At 35.7% G+C, this 22,373-nt stretch overlaps 1 protein-coding gene across 2 annotated transcripts in view; it reads right to left on the bottom strand.

Annotated features, from left to right (window-relative positions):
- The window catches only part of DIAPH2 (diaphanous related formin 2), a 920,156-nt gene that overhangs the window by 461,970 nt on the left and 435,813 nt on the right, over window positions 1-22,373 (bottom strand). For both annotated transcript variants that reach the window (NM_006729.5, NM_007309.4), the window contains exon 22: window positions 1,234-1,363. In NM_006729.5, coding sequence (NP_006720.1) covers window positions 1,234-1,363 — 130 coding nt within the window. The remainder of the gene's footprint in view (window positions 1-1,233; window positions 1,364-22,373) is intronic.

Below are 22,373 nucleotides of genomic sequence, written 5' to 3'. Positions count from 1 at the left end.
ACAAAACGATACAAACTCGGTAAAATTAAAGAAATATGTTGAGGATTTGATTGACAATACCCAACTGGCTGAGATGACCACTGCACAATGTTATTCAAAGAATATTCTGGGTTTTATAGATTCACTATTTTTAACTTAAAAGGAAACTAACAGGTTTATATGGTTTGTAATAAACTTGAGAAACATATATGAAGTCCTTACCAAAAGTCCTCAGAGTTACAGAATGAAATTACTTCAGCGTAATTTCAAGTATAAGATTTATGGTGTACTTCTCTTATCTAAGAGGGAAAATGCACTTCTTCTCGCACATAATCTCACCTTCAGCAAATGTTTCCTTAATCTTCTTTTCTTTCACTTTTCAACCTCTTGCAAAAGTAGATAATACTTACTGACAAAGCTAATTACCCTGAATTAAAATCTCAGAGACATTTTTGTTTCAAACATCCTGTTCCTCACAGGAGCCATGGCTTGTCTATTCTATCCCTTCAATGATGCTGTACTGCTTACCACATCAAGACTAGACTCCTTAGCCTGACACTGAAGTCTCAGAGATACCTACCTTACTGCTCCAGCCTCAGAGTCAACCATTCCCTTCACTTGTCCTAAAACATTCTGCCACTTTGCCTTGCTCATGTTGTTTTCTCTCTGGAAAGCAAACCTCTTTTCCATGTCTGTAAAACCCTAACCTCATATTTCACCTTTGACCTCTTCCATGAAGCCTTCTCTTACCCACCCATTCAAGAGTACTTTCCTCCTCATCTCAACTATAGGACATTATCTTTTCCTGCAGCATTTCTCACATGCATCCTTATTTTATAACACATTTGTGTGTATGTATATATACACACATTTTTCTCATTTACTATATTTTAACCACACTCAATCAAAAACTCTCACAATCATTGTCATATAACCAAGAGCCCTATAGTATGGTTCCTTTGCAAACAATATCCACTTAAATGTTTATCAAATGAAAGTACAAACATATTATCTGATCAGAGAAATGAAAGCTTTAATAACGTAGCAGTGGTAAAAAAAATGATGTAAGACAAAATAGGTTATTAAAATGTAGTATGCTGTCAAATATAAGCTAATGGAAACTATTTTCCTGCTTTTCTTTTATCAGTAAACAAACAAAAAATACTTTTATGAATAATGTTTACAGATTCTTTAATTGTTCCATTTAAACCATATAGGCAAGAGATAATCTCAAAGTAGTTATAAATCAATTACCTTTGCTTGCACTTTCTACGTGTTCCAGTTCTTCAGGAAATTTTAGGATATCTCGATATTTTTCCTCACAAATGTCGGCAATAAAATGCAAAAGGGTTGTTTTTTGATCCGCTGATTTAGTATCTCTGATCTGGGAGAAAACAACAACACATTTTTTAGTAATTTTTTAGTAAATACTTTTTTAAACAAGTGAAATGAATGAATTTATTATAACCCATTTAAAATGTTTTTAAAACTTTGGGGTAGGTTCTTAATGTGGTCTAGTAGCGGTGCTCTAGATTTTAAAAGGAGCTCCATATTTTAAAAGCAAGTAAGATGACCAGTAAAAGTGCCAAATTAAACCTTAATCTGTATTTTCAAAAATGTCTAAATTATTGTGGCAAAATGAACTATTCTTTTCATGAGAGAAGAACATCCATTTAAGTATTGATAATAGCCCAAGTTACTGTGTGCTTATTTTATCATCATTCTGTTCTTTGCTTTATTACAAAAATATGTTCTTAAAAGTTAGATTCATTTGTGAGATTATATTTATTTCTAGCCATTGTTGATGTAAATTAATGTAAAGGAGCAAGCACATTTTATCCTCCTCTACTTGCATGGACCATCAGAAAATAATTCTCAAGGTTGTGCTTATACTGAGTTATTAAAAAAAATCTCACCATACAATCCTGATAATATGAAAAATTTTATTTGCTTACATATTGTATTTCCTTTTCAGACACACAACAAAAGAGATGCCACAGTTAGAATGGTAAAAATCTTTAAAGCATAGGACACACAAAAAAAGAAAATCTAGTGCTGCAATATAATTCTCATACTAGACTAAGCTGCAAATAAAATCAAGGATTTACTTAGAAACAAAGCATAAATACAGCATAAAGTATCAAGTTTTCTCATTCTATTGGATGTTATAATTCTATAATCCTTAGATGATGGGTTTGTCCACTGATGTTCATACTGATTTGGAATTTTTAGCTTTAAGGATTACTCTGTTTAGAATAAATGAGTATTTTTCACAAACAGGTTTATGAAAAGGCTGTACAGGATATTTAGGTAACAGAGTAAATTAATCCTTATTGTTTGAGTGACTAAGAAAGAAAAACATAGCATTTAATAAATCAGGCCCACACTGGATCTGTTTTGTTCTACAGGTTTTTAACAACCATTTGCATCTCAATGTGATGTAAACAACTTAGAAGAAATATTAGTCTCAAGGTTCCAAACAACCAAACAGCCACAGGAGGCATAATGTTGATAGTTCAAGAGGTCACAATGATTTCTTTCAAAATTTCGGGGATTACTTTATCCCACATAGGAAAAATATTTAAAATTTTACATTATCATGCTGATCCACTAAACACTTTTAAGTACTTTAAGGTAGAAATGACACAACTCAAGGACAAGCTGAAAGAACAAAAAGCAACACAAACCTCAAGGGCAATTTTCCTTAAGTAAGGATAGCAGCTGTAGAGGAATCAATGGGAAGCTCACATTCCTAAAGAGAGGTCTTTACCTGGGATTACTGTGTGATGTGTTTACAAAGTGCATCGTTTTTAAGAGTATGCCGGATATTCCAAATAAAAAGGAAATTAACATTTTCTTTTTCCTTAGAAGTTCACTAACTACCTAAATCCTAAAATTCTGGAAACATTAAGTGCTTAGAAAAAATTGCAGGTACATCTTCCCAAAGGAAAGGAAATTCCTATGTATTTTATGGACTCTTTGGAGTCATAACATAAATGGAGACAAAAACAATTTTTTTTTTTAAAAAAGAACACAATTCAAAACAACAAAAACCCACCTAGTTTTTTAGGACATCAAATTGTACAAGTACATTATAGTTTACAATAAAACGCACATGGCTAACACTGGAAAGGAAATATAAAAACAGAAAAATAGCACTGTGCTCATATGTCAATTTTATGGGTGATTTTTTTTCTTTGTCACATGTGTTAGATTGTTTTGTATTAAAAAACATTTCAGTTTTTGGCATGCATACTTATAAGTGCTTAATTTTCAAAAATTGTATTTATTAATAAATATTTATTCAGTATCTGGTCCACTAACAATTTAATTTGTTACAAAATTTAGAAGAGTTAATGGTTACATTTTAAAAAGATAAATAAAGCACAACATCAGTTAAATGTATTAGTATCTTTGATGAAATGATAAAAGACTTTTAGACAGACTATGCATGTATTTCTTTTAGAATCATAATATTCCCTTCAAAGCATGGGCAAACATGGCCAAATGTTTGTCTTGTCAAGTTGAGAAGTATCTTAGTTGGTCTGGGAGACAAGCTGCTTAATGTATTGCAATATTTGTTGTTTTTTTTTAAAAAAAAAAACACACAGAGACCATTTTAATGGTTCAAACTGGCAGGAAATCACGACAAATGGGTGGTCTTTTAAACCTTTCTCTATGTGTGAGAGGCCTTAGACCAATTATTTAAAATATATATATATATAATATTAAAATATAATGGAAAATATTTTTTACTTATTGAAGCTTAATTACTTTATATCATGCCTTCAGTCTCTCTTACCAAGTCTATGCCATTCACACATTAGCCATTGTATCTCTCTCAGGCCCTATCGTGTTGTTCAATGTCAGCACAGAAGGCAACTAAGAACATCAGTTCTACTGGTTAAAGACATTTATCCAATAATTTGCTTTTCTAAGTGTACTAGTTGGATATACACATCTCTTGGGGTAGAACAAGAGTAATCTAATCTGATTATGTACAAGTCATTTCCAAAATGTTTGAGTTAGTTTATTAAGAAATAGAATTGATTTCCATTTGATAGCTGTTTAATATGAAATCATATTAAAATTTTACATTAACATGAAATATCCAATTAATAGTTGCCTAGATTGCCTAAGTCTTAGTGGTGGTTATATTGTATGCATTTCAAGGTTTGCTCTAGCCAGAAGCAAAGTGCCTTTTTGCATCCCTGTATGTGTTTTTCCTCTCTCCAGCCATGACAGGTAGGGAGAGACATATATGACTTATTTTTATAAGATGCAAAAGGATGAACAAAATGGTCACTCTACAATCTTCTTTTATATATCTTCAAACAATAACACAAACAGCAGTTCTAGAAATGGGAAATATTTGAAAAAGCTAAAATAAGTTTTATATTATTTTAATAAGCGCAGTTATCACTGGATGATAATGAAAATAAGACAAGAGTGAGTCACTGTATTAACTGATCAGGTGCAATCATCAGTTAATAAACCATATACAGCAATTTTAATTTAATCATCTGACCAATAAATGTTACACATAAAGATTAATAACTGAATTTAATTGAATTCTATCTACCTAATCTTTAATAACTTTCTAAAATGGTACATGAATACAAAATACCTTTAATAGGACACGTGTTTCTACAGCTGATTTTGATCATTTCTTTTTCCTAGTACACACAAACGTTATATTATGAAAGATACTACATATATTTTATATGTTCAAGTACATCTCCAAAATTTAGTTAGGTATATAGCAAAATTTCTCAATAACTAATTGACACATAAGAAATTTCTTTATTCCAAATATCCTCATTCAAGCTTCAAAACCTTCAGTCTTGCCATGTCTTTGAAATTGGGCTGTTTGAGTACACAGAAACCAGCACACAGCCAGAGAGCCTCAGACAACATTTTAATGACCTACGTCAGTCACATTCAATCTTTCTGTGAAGGACCCCTTCTGTAGGTAATTTTCCCTTCTGATGAGATGTAAGCCTATTTCTTCTTGCTTTGTCCTCAGTGGGAACTGAAAATAACTGGTCACTATGCTGTACGTAACAACCTCTCACAGAGTGAAAGTTCCCTTCTCATTCCCGTCCTGTTCTCCAAATAAACAACTGCAGTTAATTTAACCTAACCGCATAGATGTTATTCTTCAAATGTTTAATTTCTCAATGGTAATTAGAGTCCATTCAAAAGATCCATTGCAAAGGCTCCTGTCATCTGCTGGAAAAGAAAAGTTCTTGATTTTGCATACAAGACACTCCCTTGAGCTGACCCTTGTCTACCTTTCTAACCTGCCTCCTGCTGCTGTCTGCCTGATTACAACTGCTTAAACATACCATGCAGTTTCATGCCACTGTGCTTTTGCACCAACAGCTCTCTCTGTGTGGACGCCCTTCCTTTTTGTTCCTTTTTATCCGCCAAGAAAATACCTACTCACATTTCAGACTACTCAACTCCCATGTCATTTCTGAAGACTTCTCTATCTTAGAAGCAATTAATAACTTTTTTTGGCCATCTTCATTCACTGTAAACATTTCAACATAGTAGTCTCTCACACTCAATATGAGCTCTTACATGGCTAGAGACTTTGCTTTGGTAATATTTTTGAATCCATGGTGCCTAGGAGGATGTTAGAAAATACTAGATAGTCAATAAATGTTTCCGAATGCAGATTCTTCTCTAAACTCCAACTTTTCTGGGCTATAGAGCAATACTCCTAAATTTAATTCTATACATATATATATATATATATATATATATATATATGTATAACTGCGTTTATATATGACCCCACCACACACACAGAGGTTGACTACAAAGGCCAAACTTTTCCAGAACACACATTTGCTAGAGTTAGGTGCAAGTGAATGCCAGAATAAAGTTATAATTTGTCACTCAGGAAATGTAGCACTGTACATTTTTTTAGGGGAGGCAGGTTAGGAGCAAAGCAAATATGAATGGAGAAGTACATTCTTTAATCCACCGTGAGTTGAGGACTATGCTGAACACCAGGGATAAGAGATAAATGATGCATGGTACTTTTAAGGCCTTAAGCTTAGAATTTAGTAGAAAATACAAAATGATATAGAAAAGAAACGACATAGGAGAATAATTTGGTGGCAAATGTCAAAGACTGATATACTTAAAATGATAACTAGGGTATGTGTAGAAAAGACAAAAAAAGGGCAAATTCAAGAGAGATTGTAAGGAAAAACAGGATTTAGTCAGTGAATATTAAGATGAGGGAAAGGGAAAAATCAAAGACTCCAAAAGCTTTAAGTCCCGATGATTAAAAGAATGTTGTATCATGTCCAGAATGAGGGAAATAACTCTAGAGTGAACTGGCATTAGGAAAAGGATGGCAGCTCAAATTTTAAACAGAAGTGTTAGCTATGTGAAAATACACTATGAAAAGATGGTCATAACCATTCCATTCTCTTTGCTTCATTTTATCCTATATGATTTAGCCTAATTATGGTTCTTAAACATATATATGATCATGTCACTCCCTTCCTTAAAAAAAGTAAATGGTTCTTTACAACTCATGTAATAAAATTCAAATTTCTAATCAGAATAATTATTAAGCATAGATTTTGGATTCAGACAGAACCAGGTCCGAACCTTGACCCTACCATTTACTACTTGTATGACCTTGGGCAAGTTACATGAATACTCCATGTCTCAGGTTTGTTATCTATAAAATGAGCATTAGATAAGCACCTATGTTCACAGACATGTTTGCAGAATTGAATAAGATAGCATGTTATCATGGGTACCATCATCATCCAGATAAGAAGTGTTGAGAGCCTACCTTAGCTTCCCATCACTATAAACTAAAAATCCCTCTGGCTCCTACTCTGTTGTGATCTTATCTCTAGCTATTATCCTCTCTCAAGTTCCCACACTCACTTCAGCTATGCTGGACACAAGTACAGAGTTTTCTTGTCTTCTTTGTTCACTTTTATATACTCAGCATCTAGAAAAGTGGGTAGCATACAATAGGCACTCTATCTGTATTTGTTGACTGCACAAATGGGTGAAGATTTCTACCCATTTACTTATGTTCCTCCTGACTGCACAAATGGGTGAAGATTTCTACCCATTTACTTATGTTCCTCCTGACCTCGGCATACTGTTCTTCCTTCATCAGGTGATAATATCCTATTCCTCTTTTAAGGGGTAGGAGAACCAACATTTGTTGCCTATCTATCATGTGCCTATAACTCAGGCACTTTCATAAGTGCTTTTTTTTAAATCCTAAAATCAATTCAGTGAGTTAGTTACGAATATGCCACTTTTATAGATAAGATAGAGCTCATAAGTTGTTTGATCTAGTTCCCACACTCAATAGGTGTTGGTGCCAGAACAAAGCACGGCAATTTATGCACACTTGGAATTTAAGATATACTTACTGGATTGAACTGTCATGGGTGATGAAGATGGTATGCGTGTGGAAAGGGAGGAGAGTCGTAGTTACTAGTAATAAGCCTTTCTCAACTTCCCTGAATAGAATTAATAAATTCTAGGCCAAGTGTGGTGGTTCACGCCTCTAATCCCAGCACTTTGGGAGGTCAAGGAGTTGGGGCGGATCACCTGAGGTCAGGAGTTTGAGACCAGCCTGGCCAACATGGTGATATCCCATCTCTACAAAAAAACAAAACAAAACAAAAATTAGCCGGGCATGGTGGCACATGCCTGTAATCCCAGCTACTCAGGAGGCTGGGGCAGGAGAATTGCTTGAACCCAGGAGGTGGAGGTTGCAGTGAGCCGAGATTGCGCCACTGCACTCCAGCCTGGGTGACAGAGCAAGACTCTGTCTCAAAACAAAACAAAACAAAACAAAGCAAAACTACTAAATTCTGTCTTTGTTCTCCTATAGCGGTTTCTATATACTCTAGTTATAGCACTTATTCCACAATATATAATTTTGTGTACACAACTAGTCTCACCCACCAGATTGTGAACTGCTTAAAAATGAGGACTATATCAATTTTATTCAGTAAATGTTGAATGAATAAATTCTTTAGACAGGCCAAAAATAATTAGGGCTGACTTGATGTTAATCTTTGGTGACCTTCAAGCACTGTTAGAATACAGTGCAAAGGATTCAAAATTAAAAGGAATGGGTAGTCAGAAAAAAGAGGTAATGTGAACGAATAATTTATTCCAAATATTGACTGTGGATAATAACCAGATAATACAGGAGGTAGCAGAGCTGGCAGCTGGAAAATGGTGAGGTTAGTGACAAAAATTATTCTAATTATTGTCCCGAATAAGTTCAGCATAATTAGGCTTGAAGGGATCAGGCAACGGAAGAAATAAGAATGAAAAATCAAGAATTCATGAGCATTTGCTACTTTATTGGTTCTCAATCCCTGGTCCCTGGACCAGCAATATCAGTATCACCTGGGAACTTGTTAGAAATGCAAATTTGGGGGCCCAACCCCAAATCAACTAAATCAGAAACTCTGAGGGTTTGGTCCAGCAATTTGAGTTTGAATATACTAGGGGAAAACTTCTGATATCACCTCTAGGTGATTCTGATGCATGCCACTAGGGAGACACTAGGCTACTTTCAAATAAATTTCCAGGGGAGAAGATGCTTGGCAATTGTCTACAGCTTGCCTAGGTCCTCTCACAACTGCTTTTACATATAAAAAGTTGAAGTGTCAACGTGTTTTCAATGCTTAGTGTCAATTTAAAATAAGAGAGAAATTATCTAGCAATTTGTGGCATCTGAAGGACAGAATTGCTCTAAGTGTTCTTGATTAATTCACATAAAAATAAGACTGATTGGTATCATAACCTATCAGCTACCTATCCAAAAGTAGATGAGACAAACAGTATGCTCCATGCTGTGAAGATTCCAGATACATTGCTCTTCAGTGTTCTAAACTGTCCTTCATCCTTCACCTAAAACTGTATTGAAAAAATACTTAAATGCTGCTATAGTATGTCTTGTCTACTACGTATCATCAGAGTGATGGACTAGATAACCTAGCAGATTATTCATGCCTTCCAACTCCTGCTCAAGCAAATCTGCATTGTTGCTTAGATATTTACTCAGAAAGTTTGAATCAGATTCTGAAATTGTAAGTTGCAGACATCGGGTTTCAGTGCTTGCCATAAAAGTTCTTGTATCTAAATAACCTAATGCCTTGCTTGACCTCTATGCCAAACAGTTTACATGTATGAAATCAGACTATGGTGGGTGTATGTAAAGAAGACAATCAAGGAAGGAAGCTTCATTCCTGCTCCATGGCCCTGGCATATGCTGATACTGCATTTCATTTGTCATCATACTCATTTCGGGTTGAAGACCAAGAGTGAGAATGGGGCTAGGTTCATATGTTACCATACATTATATAGGAACAAAGCAGCGGACCTTGGCTCCCTGTCCCAAAGCAATCCTGACCTCAGTTGCAGAGTGGCACAGAAAACAGTTCTCTTGGCCGGACGTAGTGGCTCACGCCTATAATCTCAGCAGTTTGGGAGGCCAAGTTGGGTGGATCACTTGAGGTCAGGAGTTTGAGACCAGCCTGACCAACTTGGTGAAACCCCATCTCCGCTAAAAATACAAAATTAGCTAGGCGTGGTGGCACATGCCTGTAATCCTGGCAACTTGGGAGGCCGAGGCAGGAGAATCACTTGAACCCGGGAGGTGGAGGTTGCAGTGAGCCAAGATCCTGCCACTGCACTCCAGCCTGGGCAACAAGAGCGAAACTCCGTCTCAAAGAAAAAAAAAAGAAAAAAGAAAAAACAAAACAGTTAGTTCTCTTCTGGAAACATGCAAGAATGTGTGGGAGGAGCACCTGGTTTTCTTGCATGAATTGCTGTAGAGTGTAAACTGCTCTGAGACAAAAACTGATTTTTGCATAAAGAGTATAAGAAATGAAGTAGTAAAGCAGCGTGGATATCACTAAAGGAAATGTTTCTGCACACATTAACGGAAGACTATCTTTAAAGCATATTAAAACTTAAATGTGAGATAAAAGTTCAAATCTCTAGAGTATCTGAAGGAAGCCCTTTTGGATCTCCCCCCTTTCCTTTTGGATTTACATGAATGGCCACATGAACTTCAGCAAACTTATCAACAGGTGCTGTACTCAGGAAAAAAAAAAATTGCCTAATCCTTCTGTGTCAAGGAAACATTCCTAACACATAGCAACATCACACAATACACATATATAATTGTCCTTGAAAAGAAATACTGAAACTCAGTGAAGAGATCTGGTTGAGTCAATGGAATAAAACCATCTAAACCACCAGTACAGTCATATAATTCAACTTTATTTCTTTTAGTGAAAATTTTCATTAATCATGGCTTCCTTTTTCCCTATTATATTTGTATATTCATGGAACAGTTAATATTTAAGCAATCATGAATGCTCCAGTGCACATATCAAAACAGCTACTACTGCTTGTCAGTCTTGATACAGCACAAGAATTCTAATGTTAGTCTCCTTTATTTAAACAAAATTAAGTTCTGTGCCCTCTGCCAAGGGTTGTTTACAAATTATTGCTTTCTTTAATACCACCACACACTGCAGTAACATTGAAAAAGATAATGTATTTTTAAAGATTGCAATTACCATAAAGACATTAGTTCTGTAGCTATGACCGGACAGGTTTAATACATGTTTTCCCAGCTTTATTTCTAAATCTGTCACCAAAAATGCTTTTCTGGGCACTACATGACTAGGGCTGACACTAATTCAGCCAAATGTAATTTACGGTGGAAAGAGGTCTTCATCCTTTATGTAGGCCTGATAGTCCCTTTTTTACACCCTTTAGTTTGGTATTATAATGATATTTCCAACCAAAAGGAAACAGATAATATCAATTGTATAGTCAAGCAAATTAAAAGTTTCACACTTGTTAGCCTAATTTATGGTAGCAATCTGTGAAAGGAGAGCTGAAACTTGAAACCGTAACAACATTAAATGGAATAAGGATTCATCTCAATTGCCACCTTCCGGACCAGCAGGGCATTTGTGCTGCTAAGTTTCTTAGACAAGACAAATTCTGTTTCCTGTCCTTCCTGCTCCCCTTCTCAGCATTTTCCCTTCTAGCCCCACTTATCCAAGGAGAATGACCTGCATGTGCATTAGCCTGCATTGCCAGGACCAGTGGCAAATTAACCATCATTTGTACTCACTGGTTTTAGGAAAGGCCAGAATGAATTAATGAAATATATCTATGCAAAGAAAAGCTGTTCTGGTACTTTCATATGCTTTTAATCATCCTGTCTATAGTTGGCTTACCAAATAAAAATTCTTCTGAGAATAGTTTTAATAAAAATCAAATTATTTAAATTGGTATAGAAATAGTTTACAAGTATGAATGTTTGTTGGTGTTAGATGGTTTCTTCTCAGACATGGGTTAAGCACGTAACTAAAACTTTTAACTTTTATTGTCATGAGCATTTTACTTAAATTGTTTTATATGTATGAGGTTTGAGAGTAGATGGAATATTTTTTTTTATGTACATAGCTTCAGATTGTCACTAGCACCAAAAGAGTCCATAGGACTCATTCGCTCTGTCTATACACTGTAGATAAATAATAAATCGCATTTAAAGGTTTTAACCTTTAATAAATGGCATTAAATGGCACTTAACATTAGTGATTTTAGCTATTTATGAAAAACTTTGAAGGTCTAAGACACAGAATATTACAAAAGCGTAATTAGAATTCAGCACTGAAGAGCAGCTGTTTAAGAGTGAGGTATTTAACCATGTTGATGTTTCTAGCTATATTCATCCATGCTGTATATTAGTTGACCATATAAATATTATAAATTTTAGGCATATTATCTCATCGAACATTTTCAATATCTGGTTTCCATTTTTTTTTGTGAGGGAATCACTGTTTTGGATATAATTACAGATAATGCTGCTGTGAACACTTTTTTATTTATTTATTTATTTTTTTGAGAGAGGATTTTACTGTAACCTAGGCTGGAGTGCAGTGGCATGATCACAGCTCACTGCAGCCTCAACCTCCCAGGCTCAGGTAATCCTTGTACCTCAGCCTCCCGAGTAGCTGTGACTACAGGCACCCACGACCATACCGTGCTAATTTTTGTATTTTTCTGTAGAGATGGGGTTTTGCCATGTTGCTCAGGCTGGTCTCAAAATCCTGGGCTCAAGTGATTCGCCCACCTCGGCCTCTCAAAGTGCTGAGATTACAGGCTATATTATCTGGGCTGCTATCAAACTCCTGGCTTCAAGCAATCCTGCCTCAGTCTCCTAAAGCCCTGGGATTATAGGTGTGGGCTACCATGCTTGCCTTTAACCATGTTTAAGCACACAGTTCAGTGAGGTTAAGTGCATTCACACTGTTGTGCAACCATCACCACTATCCATCTCCAGGACGTTTTAATCATCCTATACTGAAACTGTTACCCATTAAACATTAACTCCCCATCTGCCTTATCCCCCAACCCTTGGTAAACAAAGACTTTTTGTCTCTACAAATTTGACTATTCTAGGTACCTCATATAAGTGGAATATATAGTATTTGTCCTTCTTCATATGGCTTATTTCATGTAGCATAACATCACGGAGATTCATTCATATTATAATATAACATATACCAGAGTTTCATTCCTTTTAAAGGCTGAACAGTATTCCATTGTATATATGCCACACTTTGTTTATCCATTCATCACTCAATGGACATTTGGGTTGTTTCCATGTTTTGGCTACTATGAATAATGCTGCTATGAATTTGGTATGCAATCATCTGTAGTCCCTGCTTCCGATTCTTTTATGTATATGCCCAGAAGTGGAATTGCTGGATCATATGGTAATTCCATTTAATTTTTGTAGTAACTGCCATGCTATTTCCTACATTGGCTGCACCATTTTACATTCCCACCAGCAATGCATAAGGGTTCAAATTTCTCCACATCCTTGCCAACACTTGTTGCTTTCTGTTTTCTTGATAGTAGCCATTATAGTATGTTTGAAGTGGTATTTCATTGTGGTTTTGATTTGCAATTTCCTAATGATTAGTGGTGTTAAGTATCTTTTCCTGTGTTTATTGGCCATCTGTTTATCTTCTCTGGAGAAATATTTATTCAATTTGTTTACCCATTTTTGAACTGAGTTGTTTTGTTGTGGTTGAGTTGTGGGAGTTCTTTATATATTACGGATATCAATCACTTATCAAATATATTATTTACGAATACATTCTCCCATTCTGTGGGTTGCCTTTTTTTCACTCTGTTGATAGTGTTATTTGATTATGTGATCATTCTTGTATATGTCTCCAGGGTCCTTACCTAAGAGTTTATCTAGTGTATACACTAGAAGGGGCATTTCTGTGCATGGTTTAACATTTCTTGATAGTACCAAATTGTTTTCCAAAATGAATTTAGCAAGTTATACTCTCACCATTAGTTCTCTTTGCCCCTTATTCTTACCTCTACTTTATATTAACAGAATTTAACATTTTTTGCCAGTCTCATGAATATGAGATATCTTTTCATATATATTCATATATTCCAAATATGAAATCCATCATTGTGGTTTAATTTAATCATAAGTATGAATGAAAAATGGTAGATGGCCAGGCACAGCGGCTCATGCCTGTAATCCCAGCACTCTGGGAGGCCGAGGTGGGTGGATCACGCGGTCAGGAGTTCGAGACCACCCTGCCCTATATGGTGAAACCTCATCTCTACTAAAAATACAAAAATTAGCTGGGCACGGTGGTGTGCACCTGTAGTCTCAGCTACTCGGGAGGCTGAGGCAGGATAATTGCTTGAACCCAGGAGGCAGAGGATGCAGTGAGCTCAGATTGCACCACTACACTCTAGCCTGGGTGACAGAGCAAGACAAGAAAGAGGAAAGAAAAGAAAAGAAAGAAAAGAAAAGAAAAGAAAGAAAAGAAAAGAAAAGAAAAGAAAAGAAAAGAAAAGAAAAGAAAAGAAAAGAAAAGATGGTATAGACACTTTGAAAAACAGTCTCTCTTAAAATTAAAACTATACTTTCCATATGACCCAGGATTCCCACTCCTAGGTATTTACCCAAGATAAATGAATTTATGTCTTATACATAAATGATGATAGCAACAAGTATAATAGAAAATTTAGAAACAACCCAACTGTCCATCAGCTGATGAACAGATGAACAAAATGTGGCACAGCCATACAATGGAATACTACCTCAAAATAAAAATGAACTACCAATACATGCCACAACTTTACACTAAGTGAAAAAAGTCACTAACAACACAAAGTAACACAAAGGCTCTATTACTGTATGATTCCATTCATATGAAATTCTAGAAGAAGGCGAAACCATGGTGATTTAAAACAAATCAGCAGTTGTCTCGAGCTAGGAGTGGGGATCCACTGCACAGGGGCATGAGGAAACCACACTGGTTGATTGCAGTGGAGGTTCCAAAGCTGTATACAAACAACAAAGTTCATCTAACTGTATGCCTAAAGTGAGTAAATTTTTTGTTAAGATGGGGTCTTGTCAGAGGCATGTGAACCAGAGCAACTCCATCTTAAATAGGAGCTGGGTAAAATTAGGCTGAAACCTACTGGGTTGCATTCCCAGATGGTTAAGGCATTCGAAATCACAGGTGAGATAGGAGGTGAGCACAAAATACAGGTCATAAGGACCTTGCTGATAAAGCAGGTTGCAGTAAAGGAGCCGGCCAAAACCCACCAAAACCAAAATGGCGATGAGAGTGACTTTTGGTTGTCCTCACTGCTACACTCCCACCAGCGCCATGACAATTTACAAATGTCATGGCAATGTCAGGAAGTTATCCTATACGGTCTAAAAAGGGGATGCATGAATAATCCACCCCTTGTTCAGCATATCATCGGGAAATAACCATAAAAATGGGCAACCAGCAGCCCTCAGGGCTGTTCTGTCTATGGAGTAGCCATTTTTTATTCTTTTACTTTCTTAATAAACTTTCTTTCACTTTGCACTGCAGACTCACCCTGAATTCTTTCTTGTGCGAGATCCAAGAACCCTCTCTTGGGGTCTGGATCAGGACCCCTTTCTTGTAACAGTCTCACTCTGTCTCTGAGGCGGAGTGTAGTGGCGCGATCTTGGCTCACTGCAACCTCCACCTCCCAAGCTCAAGCAATCCTCCCACCTCAGCCTCCCAAGTAGCTGGGACCACAAGCACGCACCACCCCACTCAGCTAATCTTTTCTATTTTTGGTAGAGATGGGGTTTCGCCATGTTGCCTAGGCCAGTCTCGAACTCCTGAGCTCAAGTGATCTGCCTGACTTAGCCTCCCAAAGTTCTGGGATTATTGGCGTGAGCCACCGCACCTGGCCTAAAATGAGTAAATTTTATAGTATGTCAGTTAAAAACCTCAGTAAAGTTACTACAAGAAATTATAGGTTAGGTTCAAGTCTCTCTTGGCCATGAATACATTTTACTTCTAACAAAATAACAATACAACAAACAAAGTCCTAAGAAGATGCTTTAAGAAATCAACGAGTAACCCTAGCCTTTCTCGTACACTTTTTGAAAGCTGAAATTTGGAAGCATAAAGTGATCTGAATGGGCCAGGCTGTGATTGATGAAATATCCTTGGAATCAAGCATGTTCATCTGTCCCCAAGTCTTTGAATATAACTTACAATACTTTTCCACTTCCCTCAGCACAGGTTTCTAAGTAGAGGATTCTGTTTTAATATGTGTATCTAGCTAGTTGCTTAAATCTGAAATATTGAGATCCTTTCCCTAAATAGCCTCTGAAAAGCTTATATTTCCTCATAGTAGGTTACTTGCATCCTGGAGTGATCCCTCATACTGAACATTAAATAACAAGTTTCTTCATTCTTATTTATCTAGACAATCTCATGATATCCTCTGGCAAAAGGAAATTATTTGACTTTTGTGACTAATTAGTGAATTGGGAGGGGTACAGACATACAATAGTTATAAGTAGTACCATTATACTATTGTTTTTGAACAGGTATTGATTTTATCCAAAAAATTTAAAATACTAATATTTAACTATATGTAGAAAGATGTTAGGAACTTGAGAAGCAGTTTTAAAGATACTTTTATTGTAGCATAAAAGGGAAGAGAGCATTCTGATAATTCAGATTTAAAATTCAAAAAAGACTAAAAGATAAGAAAATAATGAATGGCAAGGCTTTGTGCTTGTCCCCATGACGGAAGGCAGGAAAAGCAAAACTGAAGACATTGTTTGGGGAAGAGAAGAAAAGTACATCTTGGAAATGGGGCTGGAATTGTTTTTTCCTTCCTTTCCAAAGAAGTGGAGCAGCTTTACAGTATAGATATCATCTAACAGAGTATGCGCTTTCTTGTCTTGTGGTTAGTTAGCCAGTGTTTATGAGCAACATAATTTATTTTTCATGTGTGCTATTATATAAAATCCATTTGCCTGTCCCCACACACACTTCTCCCTGTCTCTTGCTTTAGCATTACAATGTTCTATATCTGGCATCTAGCTCATAAGCTCCTCAAGGACTGGAGATGTATGTTTTACTTCTCTTTATCCCCACAAAGCATCTAGCACAAGGTTCCACAGAGGGTAAAGGCTCAATAAATGTGGCCAACTTGCTGCACAAGTACTCACTAAAAAGTCGTTAAATGTATATAAATAATCCTTAGATTCTCTAAAATTATCACAGAGCTTTATTTTAGTATCAACTGCTACTTTATAAACTTCCTTCCATGGACATGAGCTCTCCTTGTTAAGGTTGTGCAATGCCTTCACTAGGAAGGCTTCATTTAACAGGAAAATCAGCTTGTAAGATGACTGGTCAAACTTAGTCATGGTAGCTATGTTTTTGGAACAGTCTCATACAGGGTCAAAATCTCCTTCGAACAGAGCTTTTATAGAATAAAAAAGCCTTTGTTTTCAGACTTACTAATTATATTCACTAAATGCCATTCATGTTGTCAACTTTCCCCTACTGTGAGAATTACAAAATCAGTCATAAGATTATACTCAGAAAACGACTATAGCAATTCACAGAATACGAAGCCAGCTGGGTTCATTTAAATCCTCTATGAAAACAGTCTTCATGGCGAACTAAGTAAGACCTACAGCTAGTTCCATAAATCATCATTTTTTGTCTGCTCTAGCGCTGAAAATGCTTATTGCTGCTCCTGATATATGGGGTATTCATCAAGAACAAAAAAAATGTATTTTTGTTAACTAGAGGAGTATTCATCTCTGCCAGTTATACTATTCAACCATTAACTGTATCTATTATTGTTTAGTCACAACGACTTCAACAAGTATAGCTGTGACACAGCATTAATTTGATTACTTTTTTTGTATTACTCTATAAGGATAATTTTTTTAAAATGAAAGAAAATACAGATGCATTAATTTTCTTATTTCCTGAAAATGTATCTGTATTTAATGAGTCAAAAACTAAGCCACAGGTGAGTTCTCTACAGAAAACAAATTATACCCTTCATTACAGTTCTATACACAAATATATATGGTTGACTTTTTAATGCTTATTATTGGTAGAAGATAAGGAATATAATTTGGTAATTCTTAGTTTGCATTCTTTTTTTTTTTTTTTTTTTTTTTTTTTTGAGACGGAGTCACTCTCTGTCACCCAGGCTGGAGTGCAGTGGCATGATCTTGGCTCACTGCAACCTCTGCCTCCCGGGTTCAAGCAATTCTCTGCCTCAGCCTGCCAAGTAGCTGGGATTACAGGTGCCCGCCACCACGCCCGGCTAATTTTTGTATTTTTAGTAAAGACGGGATTTCACCATCTTGGCCAGGCTGGTCTTGAACTCCTGACCTCGTGATCCACCCGCCTCGGCCTCCCAAAGTGCTGGGATTACAGGCGTGAGCCACCGCGCCCGGCCAGTTTGCATTTTTCAATGCTCTTTATGAGTCAATTGATGTATACAAAGGAACATTTAACTCAATCCTGTTTCTCTCTGATTATCCAATTGTGAAAATCACCCCAACCCTTCTCACTCTTTCATTATCTTTCTCTCATTCTGTGTCTCAATCTCTCTGTCTCTGTCTATCTCCCTGTCTCTCTTACTCAACACCCATATGCACACACACCCTTTTTGGCTTCATCTGGCTCTTATTTTATTTTCCTTGGTCCTTCCCCTAATACAAAACTTTCAAAAGTTGAAAACTCTTCCATAACAAAAAGGTCATGTGTTTGCAGAGGGGTGTATAATAACGAGGCATTACTAGTACTCAAGGCAAGTATGTCCCATGTATATACATATATACACCTCACAGCAAGTTATCTAGATATCTAGGAGGCAGACATAACTGTAACATATAAGTTAAAATCAGAGATAGCAGCATAGGCTTCACGATATTAATAATCACAGGTAAAGGGAGGTGTGTGTGTGTGTAATAGGCAACAGAAAATTTTAACATACATAAGAATAATAGAAAAAAATCCCATGAGTCTCCAAAGCAGTCAGTATTGACAAGGAATACTAATCAAGTCTGCATCAGACAAATTACATTTACAAACTATTGTTCTCTAGAGAATTTAACAAACTGAAAATTTTGGAGTATAATCAAGTTTTCACACAACCTATAGTATTGTAAATGTGATGATTTTGTCTAAACAGATGTAATCAAATTCTGAGAAAACAAACAAGTGTTACACTTAAAGTACTAGCTAATTTGCAGCAATGAATGTAAATTAATGAATATTTCAACTTAGAGAAAAAGATCTTTAAATAAGCTCACGGGACCTCTATATTTTAAGAGGCAAGGAGGAGAATAAAGGTGTGAGTTAGTTTCTTTCACTCAGAGCTCAAGTTTTCAAAAAGATATTTTGAGACACATAAGCTTTTAGAACTATAGCAATTTTTAAAATACATCTATAAACTTTGTTAATTCCTATGCCTGACATGATCATATATTTTTCCCTCTGCTGTAATTAGCTTACCACAAAGTTAGTGTTTTGTCTCATTTCAATTTCTTAATGTAGGCTACAGAGAACAAGAAAGATATCATGCATCTCCACATTAATATAAATCTAGAAGATGTATGACCATTTGGAAAAATTGAGGCTATCATTTTAGAAGATGGCACCTCATAAGACAGAGACACATATTACCTTCATCAAGTTTTCTTTCTACTTAAGTAGTCAATCTGTATGTGCACCACTATACTATATAGACACACAAGGAGACCAGGTAGCTGACATCTTAGAAGTGGGATAAAGCACTGACTTGCTAATTGAAGGACAATCTTCAAAGCACACAGTAGCGTATTCATAGGATTACAAAATCAAGGAGCCATGATAGTCTGTTTCCAACTCTTAGAGGGCTGCATTTTAAAGAAGATAAACTCAAAAGAAGTGGCCTGTGTTTGGTTCAGATTTTAAATGGCAATGAAGGGCATTAGAGGTGAGGACTTTGGATTGGATTTCTGAGCTGGTATCCAAGTATCTTGATTTAGTGGAGAAATCAGATGACTGAAGCAATCTTCTACTATTACCATTTGCCTACGTGCACAAGTCCATATGCACAGATCAACGGCATGTGCATTAGAATACACAATGAATAACATACAGCAATTAAAAGACCTTATGGAGAATTCTTTCCTTTAAAAAATTTAGTGTTCTATACATTTAAATACTTCTAGATTTACTAACTTAAGTAGTATTAATGGTTGCCTTTGAAAAATTACATATTTTGGTGTATTGATTTACATGAAAAAGTGTAGGAAACAAAAACCCATGACACAACTATAAAAACTGAATCCAGAATGTCACCACTGACATAGTATCACAACAGTGTAACATTCATCTTTAAGCTCAAGAAACTATTCAGTGGTTCTCAATGATGAGAGCTCAGTAAGCACAGTACAATGAAACACAATGGACTTAAATAAAGGTCAACCATCACATAAGCTGAACAAAGGAAACTATTTAAAATTAAGAATGATATCCTGTTCTTGTGTCATTCCATGGTGCTTAGTTATTTCAGAGGTCTAAACTATAGCGAATATTCTTGCTTCAACGTAATATAATGAGGCACAGACAGACCCTTAAATTGAAATGTTTGTATCCACTGGTAATGAATTATGAACAAATGGTACAGCATGTCACTATATTATATGATGACATTTTTAAATGCAAATACCATGAATATGTTCCTTTGCATTTGGTGTAGCATAGAATCTTGCATCACTGATTAGCAACCAGTGACTAGGAGAGATCACCAAATGAAAACTCTTTCCCACAAATAGCTCCACAGAAAGGAAAGTTTAAAGGACCCCCAAGGAGAAAAATAAAAGTTTGGAAATAGGGCTTAACATTTCATCCCCCTCCATAAATGATCGAGAGTCTAATCTTCCCTTTCACATAATTTTTTTCAAGACAAATTATAACCCACAAAGTCATTTTCTTCTCAGCAAATTATCAACCACATCTCCCTCAAATTCAATTAATGCTAAATATTGTCTGATAGGAAAAAGTATATTTCAGTGAAGCAAAAGAGTCAATGAAAATTCTGAAAATAGCATGATCCACTGAAATCATTTGTTTGAGTCCCAGGAAAAGCTGGATCCTAACTCTGCCTTCATCACTAAGTGATCTTGGGTAAAGATCATCTCTCTGGAGAGCAGATCCTCATTTGTAAAATATTGAAAACAGCAGTCAACCTTGCCTACACAAAACTAAAATACTCTGACAGTCTATACAACACCAAGGGATAGCTCCACAATTATTCAAATTATTAGATGCTATTTTATTACAAATATATAGGCTCTGCTGCTTGGATACATTAAAATCTATTACAAGATGAGAAACTTCCTATTGATAGGCCTACAGTTACACCAAGCTGAATTAAAATAAAAAAGATGGATTCCAAGTTTCATGCCAGAGAGCCAAGAAAATTCACATGAGGTTTTCCCCATTTTCAGAATACTGTAAGTGCCAGAGTTGGTTCTATAATGCTTCCTTGAAATGAGCCAAGTATAACCAAACATTGTTACAATGCAATAAGAGGCAGGGTGCTACACAATTTTGTAAACAGAAAACCTGTATGTAAGCCCCAACTTGTACCTTTACTAGTTTTTGAATCTTGGACAAATTATATAACCTCACTGGGCTTTAGTTTTCTAATTTGCAAAATGGGGTCAATAATACTTAACCTCCCTGAATCACAAGGAAAACACTTTATAAACTATAAAAACACAGGCAAACAAATGCATGGACTGTTGACCAGGATTTATTGATCGTTGCTAGGTTCCCTTTCAGTACATCCTATAGTGATTATTTTCTAAAATATCTTTGGTTTTAAATTAATAGTCTCATGTTAATTTATTTAATAACCCATATTTAATAATGAGTTGCTGATTTAGATTTACAGCAAACAACACATTTTTGCGTCTTTACAAATAAAGCATAAAAAATCTTACAGTTACATATTCAACAGTTTTGCTGGCAAAAATATGCCCTTTGTATCTGTGAGGAACAAAATGTTCTAACTTAAAAAACAAGTTAACACATGCTGAGTATTAATAACAAATCCTCTATTTAATCAAATTGTCTGACTTTCAATCTGTAGTAATATATTGAGAGCTTCACATATAATAGACACTGGAGATATAATGCAGAATAAAATATACATCCAAATTTGACGAGTTCTGAGTCTTGTGAAGGACAAAGGGGAAGAAAACAGTAAATTAAATGTCAAGTAAAGACACGGTGAAAAGGTGGCCATATGGTAACCCAAGGAGAGAGACCTCACCAGAAACCAACCCTGCTGGCATCTTGATCTTAGGCTTTCAGTCCTATAACTGTGAAAAAATAAATTTCTCCTCTTTAAGCCACTCAGCCTTTGGTTTCTGTTATGTCAGTCCAAGCTGAACAATACACTGACTAAAGTATTTTGCTTCTACAAGCATCAGTTTTCTCACTTGTGGACTGAAGAGGTTAGACTGGATGTATTCATATGCTGACATTCTGAGTTTATATGGACATAGTCCACATTATTTTAGCTAGAAATGATTAGACACTGCAAAACTTTGCGTGTACTTACATATGACTTTTTTCTAAGGTCTTTTGTAGATTCTTTTGTGTGTGTGGATTACAGATTTCCAAATTTTACTACCATAGACAGCAGTCACTTTTCTTTACAAAGCATATTTTCTGCAGTAATTTTCTATTTCACAATAAAGCTGAACCTATTTTACTTTCCTTCTAACAACTTCTATGGGGGAAATGGATGGAGATGGATGTTTCCTTTGTATAGTTGGTATGATACTTTGTCACTAATACCATGTAATGGCCTCTAGATGAGGCTTTACATGTTATAGATATTCTAGATCATGGGTGTCCAATCTTTTGGCTTCCCTGGGCCACATTAGAAGAAGGAGAATTGTCTTGGGCTATATATAGTATATACTATCACTA

Source organism: Homo sapiens, chromosome X, assembly GCF_000001405.40.
Source record: "Homo sapiens chromosome X, GRCh38.p14 Primary Assembly".
In the NCBI taxonomy this organism is placed as follows: domain Eukaryota; kingdom Metazoa; phylum Chordata; class Mammalia; order Primates; family Hominidae; genus Homo; species Homo sapiens.
The sequence above is the reverse complement of the archived record's forward strand: the minus strand, read 5'-3'. Positions and strand labels throughout refer to the sequence as shown.